Consider the following 23,230-nt stretch of genomic DNA (forward strand, 5'->3'; position numbering starts at 1 on the left):
TTTATTTACAGTGGTAATCAAGTTACACTTTCATTTTTTAAAAACCCTATGCTGATGTACAGTAAAAACATCAATCCTGAGGAATTCATATTCTATTTTAAACATTCTTATGTTTTAAAGACAGCTACATAATTTTGTATTCTTTGATAATATTTTGTGTACTTTTGAAAAAATGCTAAATGTAGAATGTCTTAATTTTACAAGATAGCTGCAGTGAGATAAAAATATTGCAGAGAACATTGCAGGCAGGTCAGTCTGTTGCTTACATGCATCTGAAGGTGTGATATATGCACAGGCTCTTTCTTTTCTTTCTTTTCTTTCTTTTCTTTCTTTTCTTTCTTTCCTTTCTTTCCTTTCTTTCTCTTCTTTCCCTTCATTCCCTTCTTTCCCTTCTTTCTCCTCTTTCTCTCTTTCTTTCTTTCCTTTTTTTTTTTTTTTTTGAGACGGAGTCTCACTCTGTTGCCCAGGCTGGAGTGCAGTGGTGCAATCTTGGCTCACTGCAACCTCCACCTCTGCACAGGCTCTTTCTGAGAGCAATGCTTGAAGTCATTCATTCTGAAACACCTTCTATTATTCTTCTTCTTCACTTTCTATGCAACTGTTTCTATCCCACTATAGTTCTAGCCAGTAGATACATTATTTATTTTATTGACATCATAAATAAATATTTATGTTTTTACATATGCAAAGAGGTAAAATACCAATCAAATCAAAATATAGTTTGAAATGGTGTTAGCATATTTGATATATTAATATGAATGTAATCAATATAGATATATGATATAAGCTGTTAAATTACATATATTATAAATACATGAACAATTATATAAATATATTCAAATTAATCCAATTTAAATTGTGATTTCTTAGTTAAAATTCATAAAATCACTATTTCTACAGCATCACAATAGTACTTAGTTCCACTGGACAATGTTACTTCATGAAAGTAGCACAACTAACAGGATGCATGTTTTTGCACATCATATACATTTTAGTATCTAAATGTAAAATACTCTAACATTTTTTGGAGAGTGAAGCAGTGTTAAAGTCCTCAAATTATAAACTATGGGATTTGCCAGAGACAACTGAATAGAGAGCCCTGCATCAGCCTGCTGTAGGACCGTCAGTTATGCAGAAGGTTAAGAGAGGCAGTGTCCTGGGTAGGAGGCCCATGGAAGGGCCTGGGAGTGACGAGAAGCCCAGCACGTGCTGAACAAGGACAGACTTTATCTGGAATGAATGATGTGCATTATTTATGAAATATGGGTGAATTAATTTTGTAAACGGTTTGACTGTAAAGTGACAATATGTCTACTTTATACTCTTGTCATGTAGCATGTAAAACAACTTTGAGGTATTATAAATTTGGATTAAATTAAGTTGTGCCAGCAGCTGAGTCCATTTCACTGATGGAGAAGGGCTTCCCACAGAGATCAGCACAGCCTTTCCGGCCATCACTGCAGCTGCCCATCCCCTGCCCTTTCTAGTGAGATATGGTCATTGAGCATGGCATTTGCTTCAGTTAGGAACCTGTTGCTAATTGGTAGCGAGTATTCAGGATTCTTTAGTGCTGTCTTTAACAAAATAAGAAAAACTACCACTAACATTTATGGAATCAAAAGGCAAGATACCCAAAGTCACTAAGCTACAGAAAATGCCAGGCCTTAATTGGAAGATGCTGGTTAGACTTTGGGTCATTATTCTCAATGTGGAATGACATAAATGACGTAATTACCTTAGGTGCATGAGTTTGATTTCTTACTTTTGTAATTATCCTATATGTTTTGAAACAGTAAATTGTAAATTAACGTATGCTTTAATTCTTACTGATTTGAAAGATTTTAAAATACAAGATTTCATGTTTTATTTATTTTAAATTTTATTTCAAGAACAATTAACACAAGATCTGCCCTCTTAACAGATTTTAATTGTACAATACGATATCATTAACAATAGGTACAATGTTGTACAGCAGCTCTCTGGAACTTACTCATCCTGCTTGATTGAAATGTGAAGTCCATTGTTTAATAGCACCCATTCTCACTTCCTCAGCTCCTGGTAACCACCATTCCACTCTTTGTTCAATGAGTTTGCCTACTGTAGATACCTCATATAAATGGAAGCATGCAATATTTGTCCTTTTGTGCTTATTTCACTTTGCATAATGTCCTCAAGGTTTATCCATGTTGTCTCACATTGCAGAATTTTTTTCTTGTTTAAGGTTGAATAATATTCTACGGTATTGATATACATTTTCTTTATTCATTTGTTGTCTGTAGACATTTAGGTTTTTTTCCACATCTTGATTGACTACTATAAATAGTGCTACAATGAACATGAAAGTGCAGATATCTCTTCCAGTTCCTGATTTCCATTCTTTTGGATAAACAACAAACTATCTGAAAAGGAAATTAGGAAAACAATGCCATTTTCAATAACATCAAAAAGAATGCAATATCTAGAAATAAACTTAACTAAGAAGATTAAAGACTTATACAGTGACAACTATAAAATAACTGATGAAAAAATTAAAGACACAAACAAATGAGAAGACCTCCCATGTTCATCAATTGCAAGACTTAGTATTAATAAAATGTACATTGTACCAAAAGTGATCTGTAGATTCAGTGCAATTCCCATCAAAATTCCAATGTTATATTTTTTACAGAAATAGAAAACACAATCCAAAAATTCATGTGGAACCACAAAAGACCTGAAACAGCCAAATCAGTCTTGAGAAAGAAAAACAACGCTAGAGGCGTCATGCTTCCTGATTTTGAAATATATTTCAAAGCTATCGTAATTTAAACAGTATGGTACTGGCATAAAGAAAGGCATATAGACCACTGGAACAGAATAGAGATCCCAGAAAAAAATCCATGCATGTGTGATCAACTGGTCTTTGACAAGGGTGCTAAGAGTATCAAATTAGGAAAAGATAGTCTGTTCAACAGATGGTGCTGGGAAAACTGGATTTTCACATGCAAAAGAATGAATTTGGACCCTTATCTTAAACCATACATAAAAATGAATGCAAAATGGATTAAAGATTTAAACATAAGGCCTAAAACTGTAAAACTTCTAGAAGAAAACATTTGGGGAAAAGCTTCATGACATGGATCTTGGCAATGATTTCTTGAATATCAAAAGCACAGGCAACCAAAGCAAAAATAGACAAATGGGACTACATTATACTAAAAAGCCTCTCTGCAGCAAAGAAAATAATCAGCAGAGTGAAAAGGCAACCCATGAAATGGGAGAAGATATTTGCAAACTATATAACTGATAAGGGGTTAATTTCCAAAATATATAAGGAACTCCTATAACTCAAGAGCAAAAAGACAAATAACCTGATTAAAAATGGACAAAACATCAGAACAGACATTTCTCCAAAGAAGACATACAATGGCCAAAGTGTTCAGCATCACTAATTATCAGGGAAACGCAAATCAAAACCACTATAAGCTACTACCTCACACCTGTCAAGATGGCTATTATCAAAAAACAAAAGACAACAAATACTGGCGAGGGTGTGGTGAAATTGGAACCCTCGTGCACTGTTGATAAGAATGCAAAATGGTGCAGCCACTATGGAAAACAGTATGGAAATTCCTTTAAAAATTAAAAATCAAACTTCCTTATGATCCAACAATTCCACTTTTAGGTATTTATCCAAAAGAATGGAAACCAATTTCTTTTTATTATTTTCATATATAAACCAATGTATTTTCTTGAACATTAACATCCCAAAGAAGTAATACGTCTATAAAAGAACTTTTTTGAGCCCTTTGATGCTGAAATGGTAAAGTTAAATAGGGCTTTGAGCATTTGTAGAGATCTGCATAGTTTTGAACTTGTAACAACTACCATATAATTATTTACCCAAACTCAGTGTAATTGCTTTTCTATCATGCATTCAGTTGTTAGTCAGAATATAGGGAAAACCATAATTTTTCAAATTAACAAAGTTTGGCATGGCTTTCTCTGCTCAGATCCTCAACAGTGTAGCAATGGCATCTTTATTATTTTACATGTACTGTCATTGCAACACCTCATCATACTTTAATGTTTCACTGTAGAAAACAGTAAAACTAACTACAAATGATATATTCAAAAATGCCCAGATAACATTAGACGAGAAAGCCAGTAAAACATCACAAGATGAACGCATAAGGACACCAAAGAATATTAAAAATTTAAAAGAGAGAAGACTAGAGCAAAATGTTGACCAAGAGAATAAATCTGAATTCAGATAAGGCTGAGCCTGGTTTTATCTGCCCAGCTGGGGTTAGAAAGAGCCCAAATTACTAGTATCTCACAAATCCAATTCTACTCTTAGAATTAAAACTTGATGTAAGATAAATTTTCACAATTTCCAGGAAAGACATCTGTTGAATATAATATTTAGGACATTGTAACAACTGATGCTGAGTATAAAGATTCTAAAATATTCCGTTAGCCATCATAATAGTTAAATCAGTCAGGAACACGGTTATTAAATCAGTGTAGTAGAGTACCTTATTATGCTTTTTCCTTATTATATTTTCATTCTATAAAAATACTATGCAATATTAGTTTAGTTATAGTGTTCATGAGTATAGAATAATATACATGGGTCATATCTGTATGTTAAAATAAGACATCTTTAATTTTTAATGATATTGATTTTTTAGAAGACCTTTAGAGTTATCAACCTTTGTTTGCATATAAAATATTTTAGTGCATTTAGTGAATGTAACTTTAGGTTATCATGAAGGTAAGATGAATGATTCTAAGCTAACTATATTAACTCTAGTAGTTAAATCTTGGGGGCACTTTTATTTGGGAAAAAAGATATAAGTGATCAAGGAAGAATCATAATACTAAATGTTATCATTAAGCTTATAATTCTATAAAATACTTCGTTGATAAGTATTGTTTGTTTTAATTTATTGTGGTAATAAGTTACATTGCCCTTTTTAGGAGGTCAGGAAACCCTGGTAGATCTATCCTTAACAAGGATTTAAAATTAATTCATTTTGGAAACTAGCAATTAGGAATTCTCCATTAAGGACTTTCCCATTAAGAATCTTTCATTTAGCAAGAAAGTAAACCCTTGCTAGACAGCCTTTGTAGATATTTCCTTAGATAAATGTTTTGTCATTAAACAATTAGTGATTATTCATAGGAAGCTGGGAAAATGTTATTAGATGGCATTTTAGTGACATTTATTTCAGCCTTATATTAACATAATCATTTGAAAAGGATTTTTAAAACTTAGGAAAGAATGCAGATATGCAAGTGACCACAGGCTGTCTGTGAATGCACAGTGGTCATGGAGGGTTATTAAAATATCACCCTTGTAGTGGTATTTTCTGAAATCCCATTTGCATTTTATAGACTCTCAACACTGTAAAATAGGCTTTGTGTTTGATGATTTTGCCCAACTGTAGGTTGATGTAAGGGTTCTGAGCATATTTAAGGTGGGCTAAACCAAGCTATGCATTAGATGGGTGAGGTGTATTAAATGCATTTTCAGCTCTCTTCATAAATCAAAAAGCATCTATATTGTTTAACTGCTGTGTTTTGTCATTAAGCAGTTAGTGATCATTCATTGGAAATTTGTTACACAGAAATAGAAAACTAGTACAATGTTACTACACTATGTGAAGTGTTTAATTTCTCTTGCTGGATATTGACAAAAACAAAGCAAAGAGAAAAACTCTAAAATTACCTAAATAAACGTACCTGATGACCCATACTCTTGACCATTTATTAACAGAGAAATGGTTAGCTTTTAATCTTTTATTACTGGATATTGATATATATTTTAAATAACTAGGGAAGCAGCAATAAGATAACATTTAGCCTAATCTAATCATGTATGTTTTAACCACTTCCTACTGGGAAATTATTTGTTTATGAAGTAAATTATTCTTTTTTGAAATATTTTGAAATGAAATTATTTTTTCATTTTAACAGCAAAAATGTTCTTTGATGCATTAATATGAGTGATCATTTTAGCTCATCATAATTGAGGAAATCAGTGTATATATTGATGTAGTATTTATTGTGAAAAAAGATTGTGTTTAAAAGACTGTCTTTTTTATTTTTGTGACTTACCATTTAGTATATAATAGATTTCACGGCTGGGCGCGGTGGCTCATTCCTGTAATCCCAGCACTTTGGGAGACTGAGGCGGGCAAATCACAAGGTCAGGAGATCAAGACCATCCTGGTTAACACAGTGAAACCCTGTCTCTACTAAAAATACAAAACATTAGCCGGGCGTGGTGGCGGGCGCCTGTAGTCCCAGCTACTCGGGAGGCTGAAGCAAGAGAATGCGGTGAACCCGGGAGGCGGAGCTTGCAGTGAGCCGAGATCATGCCATTGCACTCCAGCCTGGGCGACAGAGCAAGACCCCGTCTCAAAAAATAAAAAATAAATAGATTTCACAATCCATTCATGCCTGCTAACTCAGTTTATCCTCATAATGATCCCATGAGTTTGAGATTGACAGGCATCAGCTTTATGTATCGTTATTTCAGTGATTTCAAAGCTAAGTGTATCCTAGCAGATATCAGGATCCATGAAGATCAGGAAAACCAACTCAGAAGGTGGTACGATGAAGGCAGTACACAGACTTGTTGTCCTTGAACCATGTCCGAAAAAAGTCCTTTTGGGGTTTCATGGGACCCAATAAATACAAATTTTTCCCCATCCAAATTCAAACCCAACTGAAAGGAACAAAAAGAAATCTGGTAGGGATAGCTTAAAATACCATCTGTATTACTGATAAAAAGCTGATTGGAGGGTACTGGCTTGGATTTGGCCAAACGTCTTGCACCCCAGAATTAGAAAGATGACCCATCAAGTCACAGGCAGCATGGAAAATTGCCGATGCCTGCTGCGAGGCAAGGACTTGATATTGTGACATTCTTCCTGGTGGGATTGCCTATACCCACAGCAGACCAGAAATCCGTGGGTAAGTAGATCCCTGGGGAAGGAGGAGAGGAGCCAGAAGCCTGTGCTTCTCCTAACTTTCCAGCCACACACATCACTCTCCTGCGGTGCAGAGAAGGGCAGAGTGTTTCTCTCAGGAAAGGTCCCTCCTGCATCCACCACTTAAGTAATCTCATGTTGATTTTTCAGTCTGCCAGAGTGAGGATATAAGTCAGAAACCGGGGAGAGGGGGTAGAAAAGTGGAGAGGAGAGCTTGACCCCCCCTTTCACCATAGAGACCAAGTGATTAATCATTATTCCCACTTACCTGCACATCACTTCTGGCTGTTTCAAAGTTCTGCCTGTGGGAATTGGGAAGACGAAATGCCTTCACTGTATTTATCTGATTTTACTTATTATTGAAAATCCATGAGTGGATCCATTCCTATTGCACTGAAAAACAAAAGAAACACCAGCTTCTTGACCGCAGGCTGGGCACAGTTACCTCTGCAGTCTTGTTCTAAACTGCCCTCCTGTTGCTCATTGGCTTTCAATCCTGCAGACAGTTCTCTCTTGCTTCAGTGTTTTGGTATATGCTCTTCTCTCTATCTAGAGCATCCACTCCAACCCAGGCACACACGTACAGTCACATCATTATGGTTTGGATCTGTGTCCCCACCCAATCTCCTGTTGAATTGTAATACCTAGTGTTGAGGTGCAGCCTGGTGGGAGGTGATTGGATCATGGGGGCAGGTCCTTCATGAATGGCTTGGCACCATCCCCTTGGTGCTGTTGTCCTGATAGAGTTATCATGAGATCTGGTTGGTTGAGTGTGTAGCATCTCCCCTCTCTCTCTTGCTCCTGCTCCTACCATGTAAGACGTGCTTGCTAGGGCTTTGCCTTCCACCATGATTATAAGTTTCTTGAGGCCTCCCCAGAAGCCAAGCAGAAACCACTATGCTTCCTGTGCAGCCTGTAGAACCATGAGCCAGTTAAACCTCTTCTTTGTGATTGACCCAGTCTTTGGCATTTCGTTGTAGCAATGCGAGAATGGACTAATACAGGGTCTCAGCTCAAAATGATACTTTCTTGCTGAGGTTATCTTGATCACCTCTGGTCTAAGACAGGATCCTCCTACATTCTCTTTTGTAAGACTCGGACTTATTTTTCCCAGCATAGCACACCACAATTTTCTGGTTGTTAAATGTCTGCTAACCCCGTAGGATCATGTCAGTTGAGCCTGGTAGCATAAAACTTATGCTCTGTAAGTATTTCTTGAGTTGATAAATAAGAGATTAAATGACCAAGGGATGTATTCTTTTTATTTCAATATAGTTGTTGTTATATGATTTTAGCAAATGAGTATAGAAAGAGGCAAAGTAACCTAGAAAAAGCACAGATGCTTAAAAATTAGTAGAAGAATAACTGAACCCCTCAAAGGCAAATTAGACAGGATGTGAAAGCATGGGCATGATATGAGGGAGTGAGAAGAGAGGCTCCAGTTAACTTGGGAAGGCTCTTAGAAATGGATACTGCTAAGCTGCTTCCCAAGAGAGGCTGGTGGATTGGGTCTGGGGAGGGGCTCCAGCTAAGTCCGTGTTGCAGAGCAGGTTTGGTTTGCAGACACTGCAAACTTTAGGGTCATCTAAAGTTTAAATTACACTCAGGGAATACAGCATGAGTAGCAGGAGTCCTTGACTCGGATTTCACATTCTTTCCCATATTATCTCCTTTGTAATGTTTTTTGCTGACAGTGTTGATGTGATATAGATAGAGGCATTCCATTTCTTAACTGGTGAAAGGGAAGCAAAAGGAGTATGCCTGAATGAAATCATACAACACACGGAAACTTTCTGTACGGAGCTGTCAGTTTTATTACCCTATCTCTGCAGTGGTCTCACTGGCAAAGTACCCATATCTTTGCAGTGGTTTCACTGGCAAATAATTAGGGTTGCAATTTATAGGATTAATTAATTTAAGAAAAGACAACAGGGGGCGTGGTGACTCATGCCTGTAATACCAGCTCTTTGGGAGGACAAGGCAGGCAGATCACTTGAGGCCAAGAACTCAGACCAGCCTGGCCTACATGGCAAAACCCCATCTCTACTAAAAATATAAAAATATAAAAATTAGCTGGGCGTGGTGGCACGTGCCTGTGATCTCAGCTACTTGGGTGGCTGAGGCAGGAGAATCACTTGAACCCAGAAAGTAGGGGTTGCAGTGAGCCCAGATGGCTCCACAGCACTCCAGCCTGGGTGACAGAGTGAGACTCCGTTTCAAAAATAAATAAGAAAAGATGACAATGTAAACTACTAAAATTATATTGTATCTGTCCTTGATCATTTACTGAACTTAAAGAGATCAAATTTATCCAAAACCAAAATGACTTCTACTAAAATGCTTTCTGGGAGCGTGTTATGAACACACTTTACAAATATATTTTATAAATAACATCAGATTGGACAGATTTTATTTTTTTAAAAAACTTACTGTGATAGTTATTTGAACAAAAGACTGTCTATCATATTTTTAGTGACTAGTGCTATAGTGTATCTTAAGATATCTTTGTTCCCCATTCCACTTTGCTTGCCTTCATCGAGAGGCTGGCAGGTGCCCCTAAGGCAGCTGCATGCAGCCACCTGTAGGCTACCGAGGCTCAGCCTAGGGGTGGTTTTGCTCTGCTCCCTGGGGCTGGCTTCTGTGTGCTTCCTAAGGAAGGGCAGTGTGGCCTCAGCTGCAGGAAGGCCTCTAACAAACTTGGCCATGAAAGGAACTCTCTGAAACTGACCCAGTTGTTCCATAGATAGTTTTTTGGATAAACAGAAATTGACCCTTCTGGTCTTAAAGCTTGAAACTTACATTTGTTTTATCTGAGTTCCTTTCTCAGGAAAGGGCCTTCAGACCTCTCAAAGTATCAAAGAACTGAAACTTACCAGGTCACCACATCCAGACAATAAAATGCCTGACCCCACGTTCATCATGGTTGCTTCCTTGTCCCATCCTAGTTCCTGTTTTCCTACACATTGTTAAATTTCTTCCCTGCTATAAAAACCCCTAGTTTTAGTTGATCAGAGAGATTAATTTGAGACTGAGCTCCCATCTCCCAGACTGCAGCACCCAATTAAAGCCTTCTTCCTTGTCACTTCAGTCATTGGCTTTCTGTGCAGCAAACAGCAGGACCTAAACCAAACCCCTGCTGTTTCAGTAACATCTCCCCAGGGAAAGCAATATGTGGGAAGGAAGAGCAGTGCAGTATTATCTGGCACATAAACAAAGGAAGACACATCAACTTCTTTGCTCTGCCTATTTGACATTCTTGGTGGCTCCATTTAGAAACATTTTACCACTGGTCTTCCAACTGCCTTTCTCTGCACTGTGCTGGTGGCAGAGATGTGTCTGGTGCCCAGACCAACCCTATCCCCTGCTGTTCTCCTCCATCCCTGCCTTAATGATGCCCGGCTCACACTGCCATTTGATTTTCAGCAGTGTGATATTGATGCCTTAAACCACCTGCATCTCCATCCCATTTGTTTTTCAAATGAATGGAACTATGATTAAAAGAAAAATACAACGCTGTAGCATTTTTAACCAGTACCCTGGCATTTTCTCAAATTATTTATGTCTTTCTAAAAGGTATTATATCAGTGCTTTCCAGTCCAAAAATCATTAGAAGACAAGATATTATTAGGACTGAGTTTGGAGGAGGAAGATAAACCTAAAGCTATTCCAAGTACAGAGGAATTTCATTATCATGGACATCAGTGATACAAATCCCATTATTATCGGTGTCTAAAGATACAAATAGCACTATAGTTTTAATTTTTATCCCAGGGATATGCCTTCAATTTTCTCTTTTATTATAATTTTTATGAGTGATTTAACCATATTACAGCAATTGGGAAATAAAGAAGGCAACAGCACACTTGGTCTCCTAAGCTTCAGGCTCTTGCTGCAAGGAGGGACGTTCATCAGCCTGAACTGGAACTGCAGCTCACTTTCCTGTCACAGGGAATATTCTTATAACAAAATTAATGGGCTCCAGATGCAGATCTATTCACTTTCTTCCCATTTCTACCAATAATATGAAACTGTTAATGTCTTCTGGTAACATAGTTTTTTTCTCACAAATGCTAATAAAGATAATATCTTGAAATTACAAACCAACTAATCTTATTTACTTGATTAGGTTTTATTTAGAAAAGCCTACTTTGAGATACTGTAAAAATAGTGAAAAGAATATTAGCTTAGGATTCAGACTGGGTAAGGGTCTCGGTTTTAATTAGGATTATGTTCAATCTGTGATTCTCCCATAGCACACACACACTCAGAGAACAAGAACCATTAGTGATTACTTATTTTAATTAAATGCTCAGTTTAAGCCTGGCACAAAATTATGAAATCCTTTGGCGAAAGTTATTCTTTATTTCTATTTTTAGTATAACATGAAAAAGTACCTGCTACCCTGTTAAACTTCTCATTATAAAAATAATGTGAAAAGTTACACTCAGACAAAAACCACCACCCCATTGGTACAATATGGAAATAGGGATCCCAGCATGGATGATTTAGTAGGTGTTAATAGAGTAAGCTGAGAGTTAAAAAAAAAAAAACTAAAACAAAGACATATTTTGTGGATAGTAGCCATCATCATATAGCAATAAGATGTAGGCTATACATAACGGCCAAATGTGGAAGACCAATTTGAGATGTTCAGTAGCTTACAAGACTATGTGCACAAAATGTGAAATAACAGAATTTCAAAGATGACAGTACTCAGAAAACGAGATATGTAAAAGAGGATAATTATCTACCTTTTCTTAGCAATGAAACATATTAGAATCTTGAACATGTTTCTCCAGAGTAATCTCTCCATGACAGAATTATCATGGACATTCCACTAAATACCTAAAACTCTCTCAAGATGCACCCTTCCAGCTTGACCTAGTGCAAATCTCACGTCTTCTGAGAGGCATTCTCCAAATTCTCCAATACTCTTTATTCAAGTCCCATTCAGAACCCCTGAATTTGTCTATACTACGGGTGTATCTATTTATGTCAGAGGAATTCAGGGGCCAATAGAACACTATACTTTTTTGAATCCTGAGCCATATCACAGTGCCATATGTATAATTTGGTACCCAATAAATATTTTATGATTCAAAAAAAGTGTAAATATGAAAGATAACTTTCACAGGTGTATGTGTATATGAAGTTAGCAATGACCAAGAAGGAATGACACAAATTTATTACTAGATTGATAACAAAAAATTACTGAAGGGTTTGCAGACAGGTTGATGGAGCCAATATAACTGTAAAAATTTATTAGTCTATTATTTTGTTAACAGAATATGATATTTAATGGACCATGATATTCCCTCACAAATTTTTCCATCTCTTTGCAAATGCACTTGAGTAAACTGTTGTATAAAATATGTATTTTCTTAAAGTTGTTGCTTTCCAAAATTTGCTGAGAGGTATATATACATTGTTGTCTAACATTGACTTTTCTTTGTATGTAAAATGTCCAGGTTAGTAGCAAAAGCATCAGTACAGTTGATGATACAACTGTAATATAGTTCTCTGTTGTTAATTACATAAAATGATGTGGACTAATTGATTGATTGTACACTTACGCCAGTCATCCTGACAGTCTTAATTTAATCTTAAAGTATATTCTGTTTGATCATCTGGTCTGGGTTCCACCACACTGTTCATAATATATTGAGAAGCACATTCAGCTATGTGGAAATGTGTTTTTAATTCCTGGGTAGTCATAAATGACAATTATAATGATGAGCATGATGATAATGATGATGATAACCTTTGTGTGGTGTGTTAGAATGTGGGAAGTACCACCACTCCGGGTATATAAATACTCTTTACAATGTCTCCTTTTCCAAATTAAGAGACTACTGTTCCAAATATTTCATATGAGGAGAGGTTCTAATTTGATTTTTATCCTCAAATAGTTTCCTGAACACAGTTTATTGAATAACTATGTTTCCTATTAGTTATTATGCATTTGTTATCATACTATAAGCTCTTATGAATAGAGACTGTTTCAGAGCTACATGTTGTATCTACCTTTCTGTTGCCTCTTTTGCTAGTGTTTTAGAACCCAACATTTCCAATTATAATAAATTTATCATTGTTTTCATATATATATGCCAGTCCCCCGATTAATTTTTGCCTTTACAGTCTATTATGAAAATTTTCAAATGCATATTTTAAAAACACGAATTCTTCATGAAGTTGTGTGTCATCCTTATAAGGCGCCACGTCAATCTTTTCTGATTTTCCAGTTGTATCATCTGTACTGCTAAATGAACATAACATCTGAGAATTCCTGAGTCTTTTCTGTCCCGTGATTCTCTTCTTGTGTCTGGAGTTGTTGTCCTATGGTAGCTGCTCTCCTGCATCTTTTAATCAGCTCTACTTTACAAGACATGAAAGTAGGCTTGTCTATTTTTATTATTTTTACTAGCATCTAGTATACTGCTACCATGTAATAGGTACTCAACAAATACAGGTACACTTCAACTGAAATGTCAGAAATTAAATGCTTTTACTGAGATCGCACAACCAGAAAATGAGAGTTAGGATTTATATCCATTCCATTTGATTCAAAAATCAACCCTACTCAATGGCCCTATATGAGATGTCATAAATGGTGGTAGTGAGAATAAGTAGCTGATGAGTATACTTCCCTAACATGATACAAAATATTTACAACAAACCAGCAGCCAAGAACATACTACCAGAAGCCCACAGGCATTCCCACTGAAGCCAAGAACAAGAAAAGTATGTCTGATATCACTACTGTAATTTGGCATTTTTCTGAAAGTTTGACAAATGCAACAACAGAGTTAAATAAGGAATAGAAGTAGATTAATGGAAGATGATTTGAGAAAAAAACTTGCAAGTAATTTTAGTGTTACCTTATGCAACCCAGAGAATTAAAGGAAAACTATTGAAACAAATAAAAAGTTTATAATATATGTATTTAGTAAGAAAACATGTTAGTGTTCATTATACATCTATATTTTGGTCTCAACTAGCTAGAAAATGGGCTAGAAGAAAAATCACACATCATACTGGAAGATATATGTAAGTTCTTTATAAAACTACAATAATTCAACCCTTATGGCATATAAACACCAAATATACCACTGGAACATAAAGAGATTTCAGAAAGAGTTGGTGGGGATATAAACTGGTACATTCAGTAGAGTTACAATTTGTTCACTTTTCTGAAGATGTTATGCTTCACTAACATAAATGTAAAATAAACTGTAACACTAAAATTATTTAAGTTGTTTATTAAGGTAGTAATGATAAATATTAAATTCATAAACTTAAAAAATAAAATTTGTTGGGAAAGGGTAGTAAACTCAACATATTGTTAATTTAAAAATCAATATCAGAGAGTGACCAATATTTCTGCACACACTCAAATATAACTGCTGATTGAACAGAGATTGGACATGCCATACTTACTTGTGTTCATTTCCTTCCATGACAGGTATTGTGCTGCTTTTATTGTATTAATACAAATAGACCAAGGCATTTGAATGATGGTTGATAGGGACAACCTTACTTTGTTGAAATAAGTATATCCATTTGAGTATAGGAAAAACTCAGGAAAATTATTGTTTTTTGATATTGAGAATTCTATGGTGGGAAAATTATGAGCCAAAATAACAATATAAATATATATATTATTTAGTATAAATATATATTATTTTGGCTCATAATTTTCCCACCATAGAATTCTCAATACCAAAAAGCATAGTTTTTTTTAACAAATACTACATATATAATATTTATATGCTATATATTTTTATGGGTTGTTTTTTTTTCTTGAGATGGAGTCTTGATCTGTCGCCCAGGCTGGAGTGCAGTGGCACGATCTCAGCTCACTGCAAGCTCTGCCTCCTGGGTTCACGCCATTCTCTTGCCTCAGCCTCCCGAGTAGCTGGGACTACAGGTGCCTGCCACCTCGCCTGGCTAACTTTTTGTATTTTTAGTAGAGATGGGGTTTCATCGTGTTAGCCAGGATGGTCTCGATCTCCTGACCTCCTGATATGCCTGCCTTGGCCTCCCAAAGTGCTGGGATTACAGGCGTGAGCCACCACGCCCGGCCATAGGTTTTTTATTAGCTTTTTATCCTAAATGATTTGGGATCATTTCTAGAATTACTTTTAATGTCTAAATAGAGGTATTCATATTTATCAGAAAACAAGTTTTCCAGCAAGTGGGATTTCAGGGGATTTTGTTTATTTATAGCTGCGGTAGTATTAAAGGAATTTTTCTTCCTCTAGAAGAGGAGGATATTTTTTAGGTTTATTTTATTTTGCATAGCAGGGTGACTATAGTAATAACATATTGTATATTTTAAAATAGCTGAGAGGATTTTAAATGTTCTCACAACAAAGAAATAAATATTTTAGATAATGGATATGTTCATTAATCTGATTTGATCATTTTATAATGTATACATGATGTATCACCATATCCCTTTAAACCCCATAAACATACACAATTATTATTTTTTTTTTTTGAGATGGAGTCTGGCTCTGTCTGATAACTAACTTTTACTGAAACTAGGTTTACATTTCTTTTCCTTTTTTTTTTTTTTTTTTTTTTGAGACGGAGTCTCGCTCTGTCGCCCAGGCTGGATGGAGTGCAGTGGCGCCATCTCGGCTCACTGCAAGCTCCGCCTTCTGGGTTCACGCCATTCTCCTGCCTCAGCCTCCCAAGTAGTGGGACTGCAAGGTGCCTGCCACCACGCCCGGTCAATTTTTTTTTTCTGTATTTTTAGTAGAGACATGGTTTCACCATGTTAGCCAGGATGGTCCGGATCTCCTGACCTCGTGATCTGCCCACCTCGGCCTCCCAAAGTGCTGCAATTACAGGGCTGAGCTACCGCGCCAGGCCAATATTTACCAATTAAAAATAAAAGAATATGGCTGGGCGCAGTGGCTCACGTCTGTAATCCCAGCACTTTGGGAGGCCGAGGCAGGCAGATCACCTGAGGTCGGGAGTTTGAGACCAGCCTGATCAACATGGAGAAACCCGTCTCTACTAAAAATACAGAATTAGCCGGGCGTGTGGTGCATGCCTGTAATCCCAGCTACTTGAGAGGTTAAGGCAGGAGAATTGCCTGAGCCAGGGAGGAGGAGGTTGCGATGAGCCGAAATCGCACCATTGCGCTCCAGCCTGGGCAACGAGCGAAACTCCATCCCAAAATAAATAAGTAAATAAACAAAAAAATAAATACAAGAATATATTTTTGACTTTTTCTGAGAGTCAATTAGAAGATATCATTCAGTTGAAATTAAATTATTCTCTATAGTGACATTCTGGGAAATAGCAATTTCATTAAATGAAATATAAGCTCAATAAATAAATTGACAAATTTATTTCTGTGCATATTTCTAGAGTCACAAATTCCCACTCCTCACAATTTAGATGATCAACTCCACCAATCTTTACCCTTTCTTATGCTTAACCAACAAGAAAATTCATGTCCAGTCTTCTGAATGATTCAGAATAAACAAAAGGTCAAAATCTCACAAAATATTGAAATTGCTATGGAAAGGGGAGTGAGTTAGTCTCTTTGTGAGTATTAGAAGATAGATAAGCCAAATCAATCACTGACTATTTTCAGAATCCATCTTTATAGAAAATATGCTTTAACCTTCCCGCTAAATCCTAGGAATTCCCTGTCTGCATATATGAGCAACCAGGATCACTGTAACATTGAGAGGAAATTTTATAAAAATCGTATCATTGAAGGAGAAAATTATGTTATTCATCTACAGCAATGTTTTAGGATGTGTCAGATTTAAAATGTGTAAGCATTCATGCATGCAATCATTATTCCTTTTACAAGGAAAAGAATTTTATAAACTGCAACTTAGGTCTGATGCCTAAAATTGTTACTAACATCCTAGCAAGAAATGAAAGTTTAGAAAACTACCAGAAGTGACTAAAAACACGAAACCCTGAAGTAAGAAAAGAATAGTTGTTAGGATAATTAAAGATAAAGAAAATGGGTTTGATATAATTATATGTTACCTAGGAATTGTTGGTGTGAAGTTATGAAAGCACAAGTTAAAAGTTTTTTTGAATTAGGACTATATAACACAAACTAAAATGCAGAGTCACTTACTATACACTATTTATCATCTTAGGCCTGTGAATTCTGAAGCAATGCCAATTATTAACCTATTAATTTTAAAAAATATATACTGAGCACCTAATATAAGCACTGTGCTGTCTATGGTGGATCTTAGAGCTGCCAGGGCCATTCAGTCATTGAACACAGTTTTCTTAGGTTCTATGATGTATAAGGCACAGTGCTAAGCGCTACAAATACAAATACTATTTACAAAGCCCATTGTGGAATAGAAGTTTACATACATGTGGCACAATGTGGTGAGGCTTATATGAGAGATAGGCTCAAACCTTTGTAGGGATCCTATGAGGGACTCAAAATGGTTTAAGGAGGTTAGGAAAGGCTGCACACAGGACTTAGATGATTTGAGGATGCTGTATACAGAAAACAAGAGGTTGCTGAGTGAGAAGTTTCCTGTGGCTAAAAGAGTTCAACAAAGGACAGGGGAACCTGTGGAAATAGTCAGGGACCAGATGTAAGAACTATGTATGCCCTAGTACCCATTCATATATTATCCTGTGCACTGACTGAAAGCCATCGGAGACTTTTAAAGAGGGAAATAACTTGTTCGATTAGTTTTCAGGGAAATGATTTAGGGAGCACTAAGGAGGGATTGCTGAAGTGGAAGGTGATAAGTTTGAGTATCTATCATGTATTAAGTGTTGTTAAATTAAGTTTAGCCTAAATCTGCCTCCTTGTAGTTTTGGCCTAGATGTTTCCCCATGTATCAGATTTTTGGATACTCTTTCTTATGAAGGGCCGTCGATTGTCTATCTGTTGTCTTATATTTTTGAAGGAGTATGCTATATATTCAGAATGCTAGTCTTAGGTACACGTATTGCAACATCTTCTTCCACTCTGTGGATTGTCTCATTACTCTATTAAATGTGTCCTTTGACAAAGTGATGTTCTTAAAATGGTTTTCTGTGCCCTCTTTAAGAAATGTTTGCCTTCTTCACAGACATGCAGATGTTCTTTGTCCTTTTCTAAAAGTTTGTTTTATTTTTACATTTCTATGTGCAATCCATATTGAATTAATTTTTATGTATGATGTGAGAGAGATTATGATTCATTTATTTCCATATAGGTATCTAATTCAATCAGCACTTTTTTTTACAAAAATGTTCTTTCCCCCCTTCTGATTAAGAAGAGCATTTCTTGGCCAGGCGCAGTGGCTCATGCCTGTAATTCTAGCACTTAGGGAGGCTGAGGTGGGCAGATCACTTGAGACCAGGAGTTTGAGACCACCCTGGCCAACATGGTGAAACCCTGTCTCTACTAAAAATACAAAAAATTAGCCAGGCGTAGATGGCGTGTGCCTGTAGTCTCAGCTACTCAGGAAGCTGAGGCATAAGACTCGCTTGAACCCAGGAGGTGGAGGCTGCAGTGGGCTGAGATCATGCCACTGCACTCCAGCCTGGGTGACAGAGCAACAGTCTGTTTCTAAATAAATAGAAAGAAAAGCATTTCTTATACTTTGAAACTTCCATGGGCATTTTTTATATTATTATCTCTTTTTTAAAAGGTATATGTTCTTCCTATTTTTTATGACTAACTCCTTATTCAGAATGGGCTTCTCAACATTTCGGGGGCCCAGAATAAGAGTACAAATAGGCTGGGCACAGTGGCTCACGCCTGTAATCCCAGCACTTTGGGAGGCCAAGGTGGGCAGATCACGAGGTCAGGAGATCGAGACCATCCTGGCTAACACGGTGAAACCCTGTCTCTATTAAAAATACAAAAAACTAGCGGGGTGTGGTGGCGGGCGCCTGTAGTTCCAGCTACTCTGGAGGCTGAGGCAGGAGAATGGCATGAACCTGGAAGGCGGAGCTTGCAGTGAGCTGAGATCATGCCACTGACTCCAGCCTGGGCGACAGAGTCAGACTCTGTCACAAAAAAAAAAAAAAAAAAAAAAGAGTACAAATAGAGGCCCATATTTTATGCCCCTACATTCTCCACCTATAGATGAAATAATTTAAAGCATTCAGACTAATAATGACTAATAAATTAGGTTGATATTTGAAAAATTAATTTTACATTATTACTTTTGTTCCCTGCCAATGACTTTAAATTATCACAAATGCATTAAGTTAAAAAGAATAAAATTTTAAAGATTAGTTCAACAGTGAAAATGTATATATTAGATTCTATTATTTTAAAGAAATTACTTGTTAATAGAAAAATAGTCACGTTTCAGATAATAGGAAAAACATAGAAATTTCCATTTTTGGTCTTTAGAGCATTGACATAGCTTATGGTTTTGCCTCACATATTTTGTTGCCACTTAAAGATAGGAGGGGCTGGGCGTGGTGGCTCATGCCTGTAATCCCAGCCAGCACTTTGGGAGGCTGAGGAGGGCAGATCATGAGGTCAGGAGTTTGAGACCAGCCTGACCAACATGGTGAAACCCCGTCTCTACTAAAAATACAAAAATTAGCCAGGTGTGGTGGTGCGTGCCTGTAATCCCAGCTACTCGGGAGGCTGAGGCAAGAGAATCGCTTGAACCCGGGAGGTGGAGGTTGCAGTGAGCTGAGATCACGCCATTGCATGCCAGCCTGGGCAACAAAGCAAGACTCCATCTCAAAAAAAAAGATAAGAGGGAGATTCAATCAAAGGTGTTGTGGATCTAACTTTTGTTTAGGTCAGGCATGTATGTGTCATGCTGGTATCTAATAGGACATTTTAGTGGTTTCCATTTTCTATGTATGTGACTGGAACAGTAGGAAGCCTGCACGATGGTAACAGATCCTGCTGTTTCTGAGTCAGTCTATACAGATTGAAGTAGCTTCAATCAGGTAATTTTCAATTGTATTTGATTTTGTTGTAATTACAAAACCCGAAAACCCCAATATTTTCTGAGGTTTTACTCCAACATATGTGTTAGTTGAAGAGCCACTCTAATAAGGTGAAACTACAGGCTCCTCCCATTCCACACTGTTCTCTACATTATAGTATACACATCTACTACAGTTCTTATTATTCTTTCTTTCTCCTGCCGAAGTATGAATGCCTCCAGATGGGGATCTAGTCTAATACAGTAGAATTCAACAAGCATTTATGATGTTCCAGGCACAGCGCTAGACACGCATAATACAGAGAGGAGGGGGCAAGTGCTGGTGGAATGGGCCCCCAGCACAGAGCACAATATGTGAAATGTTTGGAAAAATTAGATCTCATTTATCTTTACTTCTAGCCCAGAGTGAGCCTACACTACATGGGCAAATGCATCAGAATGGAAATCTCCCACCAACCCCAAATTCCAACCCCAAACAGGGCACACATACACACACACACACACCCCACACCAGTGCAAGCACTGCTAACTAGCGAGTACATTTTTTCCTACTAAGCCAGGCACAGGCCATAGAAAATTCTCACACAACACTCAAGGTTTTCAACCCTAGCTACACAATAGAATTACCTGGAAGCTTCATAAATTCCCAATGCCCAGATCATACAATAGAGTAATTTCATCTCAACCTCCGAGAGTAGGGCCCAGGTGTCTGATTCTTACAGCTCTCCAGGTGCTTCCAACGTGCAGTCAAGGTTCTGAACCATTGCTATGCTCTTGCCAGTGAGCACGGTCCCTGGAGCAGTAGCAGCACCCACTACGAGCTCATGAGAAATGTACAATCTCAGTTCCCACCCCAGATCCACTGAATCAGTGTCTGCACTTCAACTAGATCCCAGCTGGTGTAAATACTCATGGAAGTTTGACAAGAACCTCAGCACCTTCCACCACCTCATCCTCAGTGAGTGAGTGTTGGTAGGTTGAATGGTGATTCCCCAAGGATGTCCACATCCTAACACCCAAAGTCCACATCCTAACACCCAAATGTTACCTTCCATGGCCGAAGGGACTTTGCAGATGTGATTACATTAAGGGTCCTGAAATTGAAACATTATTTTGTATTATTCATCACTTTCACCAGCTGATTAAAGGGCCAGGCTTCACTGTAAAATTATGAGTTTCCCACTTATAATTATTTCGTGAGGAGGTAGTTTGAAACTACTTAAGTGTCTTGTTCTTCATGCACCTTTCAATTTATTCATTAATTTATGCACATCCACTTGGACTCATAATTTCCAATTTTATCCAATGGGCTCTCATAGTCTTTTACTGACATTTATTTTGATGCTCAAACTTTCTCTGATTTGGCTTGTGGGAGCCCTTCTGAGCAGGCTTTTCTGTCATTTCACTGTCCATAACACTCTTTGAGCCCTTCCTTTCTGACACAAGATCTTCCATGCTCACCTCGTCCTTTCCTTACTCCAGCCCTGGAATTAGCTGTTTCTCCAAGGAGCTCTTGCTCCTTTTAGTGGAGAATGAGTCCAGAGCCAGATATGCTCACTGCTCTTGTGATTCTGCTCCCAGGCCCTCTGAGAGGACATGTCATACACACACACACACACACACACACACACCCCTACATACATCAACATTTATTTCTGTGCCTATCTATATATGTATAGAAAATGGTGAGTTCAGACAAATTTCAATTTCTGTTCAATATCACAGGGTTTAACCTGGTTTTCTCCCTTTCTATGTTTGTACCTTCCTTCCCCTACAATGAGGAGCTTGGCTCCCATTGTTCATTCATTTACTTATTCAGTCAATCCCATTCATGTTTCCATTCTCCTACCTCTGCCACACCCTCTCCTTCAGGCAGATGCCCTTCCTGTTCCACTTGTGCTCCAACACCCCGCACTGGGGGATTTCAGTGCTGGGCAGTGGGGGTTCTACTCACCCAGTGATTACAGTGACTATAAACATCAAACTATTACTACAAGACATTATCAATTTGCATTTTTAAAAAGATCGTCTATTATGCTGCTTATAAGAGACAGTTAAAAGAAAATAACTGAAACAGTTTGCAAATAAAAGAAAAAGCATATACCAAATCAATACTGACTAAATGAAAGCTGATATGAAAAAAAATTAAAATCACTTATAATGTCACCAAGAGACATAAAATAATTATGCAAAAACCAAGAAAAATATATCTGTATGTATTATAACTGTATAATATCTGTAGGCTGAGAGCAAAAAAAAAACACTGATGAAAGACATCTTAAATTAAATAAATGGAAAAATAGACAGTGTTCATGCACTGGAATACTTGATATTAAGATGTCAATTCTTCCCAAGCTGACACTTGTGTTCAACACAATGCCAATTGAAATCCCAGCACAAATGTTTGTAGAATCAACAAGCTTATTTAAAAACTTATATTTAAAGGCAAAGGAACTAGAATAAGGTGAAATAAGTGGAAAAGGACAAATATTTCAGATTCCACTTACACGAGGTGCCTAGAGTAGTCAAATTCATAGAGACAGAAAGTAGAATGTTGGTTACCAGGGGCTGGGGGCAGGAGGAAATGCAAAGTGTTCAGTGGGTACCGAGTTGCAGTTTAGGAAGATGAAAAGAGTTCTGGAAGGGGTGATGGTTGTACAACAAAAAAGAAAACTGAGCTGTCAACAAAAAGGAAAACAAGGAGGGTTCAGCAAGTCAATTTGAGGATATTTTTCCTTTTATATGTGGGAAGCTGTCCCGGAATGAGGCAGCTGGCAAATTTTAGGACAATGAATCATGTCAGTTTTTCTTTTTATCTTCACAGTGCATTGTTTTTCTACCTGCTTGTCTTATTTTTAGAATAATGTAGAAAAAGAAAATGGAGGCTCTTTTTCCTAATTTTGGCATGAATCCCCCTTGTTCCAAATGAAGATGGCATCATGAGGCAGCTCAAAGAGGAGAGCTTAGGTAATGCACAATGTGTTGGCTGCCTGTCCACATCTGTCCTGCATTGATGTGGTAGGTGAGCAATCTTTTTGTGAAAATCATGTTTGTGACCATAATCATTTGGATGAATTCTTTTAAAGAAATTAAAATCCCAGAAAGAAAAAAATTCATTATACACCTATTAAGAATGGGAAAAAAAAAAAAAACAAAAACCTGGCAGTACCAAGTGCTGACAAGAATGCGGAACAACTATAACTCTCCTATATTGCTTATGGGAATGCAAAATGGTGTGGCCTCTTTGGAAAACAACATTTTGACAGTTCTTGTTCTTAAAAAGTTAACCTTAGACCCGCCATACAAACTGTATGTAAAAGTCTGTAGCAGCTTTTC

At 37.1% G+C, this 23,230-nt stretch overlaps 1 protein-coding gene and 1 pseudogene across 5 annotated transcripts in view; one reads left to right on the forward strand and one right to left on the reverse strand.

The window, feature by feature from the left end:
- SGCG (sarcoglycan gamma) overlaps positions 1 to 23,230 on the forward strand; it is a 164,655-nt gene that overhangs the window by 43,776 nt on the left and 97,649 nt on the right. The gene's annotated exons all lie outside the window — the stretch shown is intronic.
- RNU6-58P (RNA, U6 small nuclear 58, pseudogene) lies at positions 13,064 to 13,166 on the reverse strand (annotated as a pseudogene).

The sequence above is a fragment of the Homo sapiens genome, chromosome 13 (genome assembly GCF_000001405.40).
Source record: "Homo sapiens chromosome 13, GRCh38.p14 Primary Assembly".
In the NCBI taxonomy this organism is placed as follows: Eukaryota; Metazoa; Chordata; class Mammalia; order Primates; family Hominidae; genus Homo; species Homo sapiens.